The following is a 2,329-nucleotide window of genomic DNA, read 5'->3' on the forward strand; positions in this document are numbered from 1 at the left end:
CCTTTTAATGGTGATGTTAGGGTATGCATTTTTGATCTTTCCTGCTTTCCCTTGTGGGCATTTAGTGCTATAAATTTCCCTCTACACACTGCTTTAAATGTGTCCCAGAGATTCTGGTATGTTGTGTCTTTGTTCTCATTGCTTTCAGAGAATATCTTTATTTCTGCCTTCATTTCGTTATGTACCCAGTACTCATTCAGGAGCAGCTTGTCCGGTTTCCATGCAGTTGAGCGGTTTTGAGTGACTTTCTCAATCCTGAGGTCTAGTGTGATTGCAATGTGGTCTGAGAGACCGTTTGTAATAATTTCTGTAATTTTACTTTTACTGAGGAGTGCTTTACTTCCAACTATGTGGTCAATGTGGAAATAAGTGTGATGTGGTGCTGAGAAGAATGTATATTCTGTTGATTTGGGGTGGAGCGTTCTGTAGATGTCTCCTAGGTCCGCTTGGTGCAGAGCTGAGCTCAATTCCCGGATATCCTTTTTTAACTTTCTGTCTCGTTGGTGTGTCTAATGTTGACAGTGGGGTGTTAAGTTTGCCATTATTATTATTATTACTATGTGGGAGTCTAAGTCTCTTTTGATCACACTTTAAAGACCAAAAGGTAGAAGCGCAAAGACGTTATCTGTCCAATATTACAAACCTAGTAAGTGGTGGAATTTGGCCTTGAACCCAGATCTGTAACTCCAGAGCCGAAGTGCTTCACCCACCTCCCTGTGGTGCCTCTACAGAAAAAGAGGTAAGCAGGCATTCCGAAAGCTGGTGGGCCGGGGGGCTGGCCTTGTACTCAGAAGCCATGGAAGTCCCACGTGGGGTGGCTAGTGGTGTAAGGACAGAGGTCTCGGATGGGCAGAGGGATGTGGACAGGCGCGAGGGCGCGCGGCAGGGACTCGGGGGACTGGGAGTGGCGGCTCGGGGCTGCGGGAGGCGATTGGTGGAAGGACAGAGGTCTGGGAGGGGCAGAGGGATGTGGACAGGCCCGAGGGGCCGCGGCAGGGATTCCGGGGGACCGGGAGTGGGGGGTTGGGGTTACTCTTGGCTTTTTGCCCTCTCCTGCCGCCGGCTGCTCCAGTTTCTTTCGCTTTGCGGCGAGGTGGGCAGGGTGAGCTCTCGGGACTGATGGCGGTTTTGGAAGAGGCCTGGGGCTAAGGACAGGCCAGGGCGGCGGGAGAGGCGGACCGGTGGCGTGGCTGGATCTGGGCGCGCTGTCGGACCTTCCACATCACCAGCTGCAGGCAGGCGTTTGCGTCCTCGCTGGAGTTGTGGCCGTCCTGGCTGTCCTGGATGATCTGTGCCAGGTAGTCGGCCGCGAGATTCCTGAGGGAGCGCTTGTAGGGGAAACCCAGGTAGTGCGGGAAGAGCACGGCCGTGTCCACCACGGTGCTGTGGATGAGCTTCAGGGCCAGCAGGTCGCTCTCCAGGCTGTGCCCGATGAGGATGGTTTGGGCGCTGAAAAAGCTCAGCAGGATGGCTTGGACTTGGGGCAACGTGATGCTCGTCTTGGCGACGTCGGCCTCGGTGACTCCGGAAAACCTGGTGTTGTAGTCCACGATCTCGTTGTCGGGCTTGACGAAGGTGTCGTACACCACTCGCATGTCGGCGTCCACCACGGTGACGCGGGTCAGCTCTAGGCCATGCGTGGTGTAGCACATCTCACAGTCCAAGGCGTAGATTCCTGGATAAGCGTCTCTGGACAACTCTTTCTTGAAGGTCTCCACGAAGCCATCGAGGCTCTCCTTGCGGCCGTCCCGCACGTGCTGCTTTGCCACCTGGCAGCCCACAGAGCCAGGAGCAGCTGCACAGCAGGTGTACTGGCTAACCCGGCCTCCAGCCACCTGGCTCGAGCGGACCCGCCCCCAGTGATAACACAACTGGTCGCGTACACAGCGGCCCGAGGAGGACACCAGGTACTCGGTGCCACAACGGCAGCAGACCCTGCAGGAGGAGTCGCCGGGCCCCTTCCCCTGGCCAGTGAAGAGGACGGCGCCTCCGGGCCGCTCGGGGTGCGGGAAGGGGTAGCCGTTCTCCTTGAGCTGGTCCTGGGTGAGCAGGAACTCCTGGAGGCGGCTGTACAGGGCGGCCCTGCTGAGGCCGGGCATGGAGCTGGGGGTCAGGCCCTTCAGTCTCTTGAGGGTGTTCAGGACCACGTTCAGGTACCTGTTCTTGTTGGGGCTGCAGTCGTAGGCCACCTTCTCCTCGTTCAGCGCCTTCTCCTCGGCCTCCTGCTTGGAGGCGCAGAACTTGAGACACTCTTCGGTGAACAGTTGGAGATAGCCTCGGCGGAGGACGGTGGGGACTTGGCACCCAGAGCTTCGGAGGATAATGGGTT

The 2,329-nt window shown here is 57.0% G+C and overlaps 1 pseudogene; it reads right to left on the bottom strand.

Moving 5' to 3' along the window:
- Positions 951–2,083, bottom strand: REXO1L5P (REXO1 like 5, pseudogene; annotated as a pseudogene).

Source organism: Homo sapiens, chromosome 8 (genome assembly GCF_000001405.40).
Source record: "Homo sapiens chromosome 8, GRCh38.p14 Primary Assembly".
Lineage (NCBI taxonomy): Eukaryota > Metazoa > Chordata > Mammalia > Primates > Hominidae > Homo > Homo sapiens.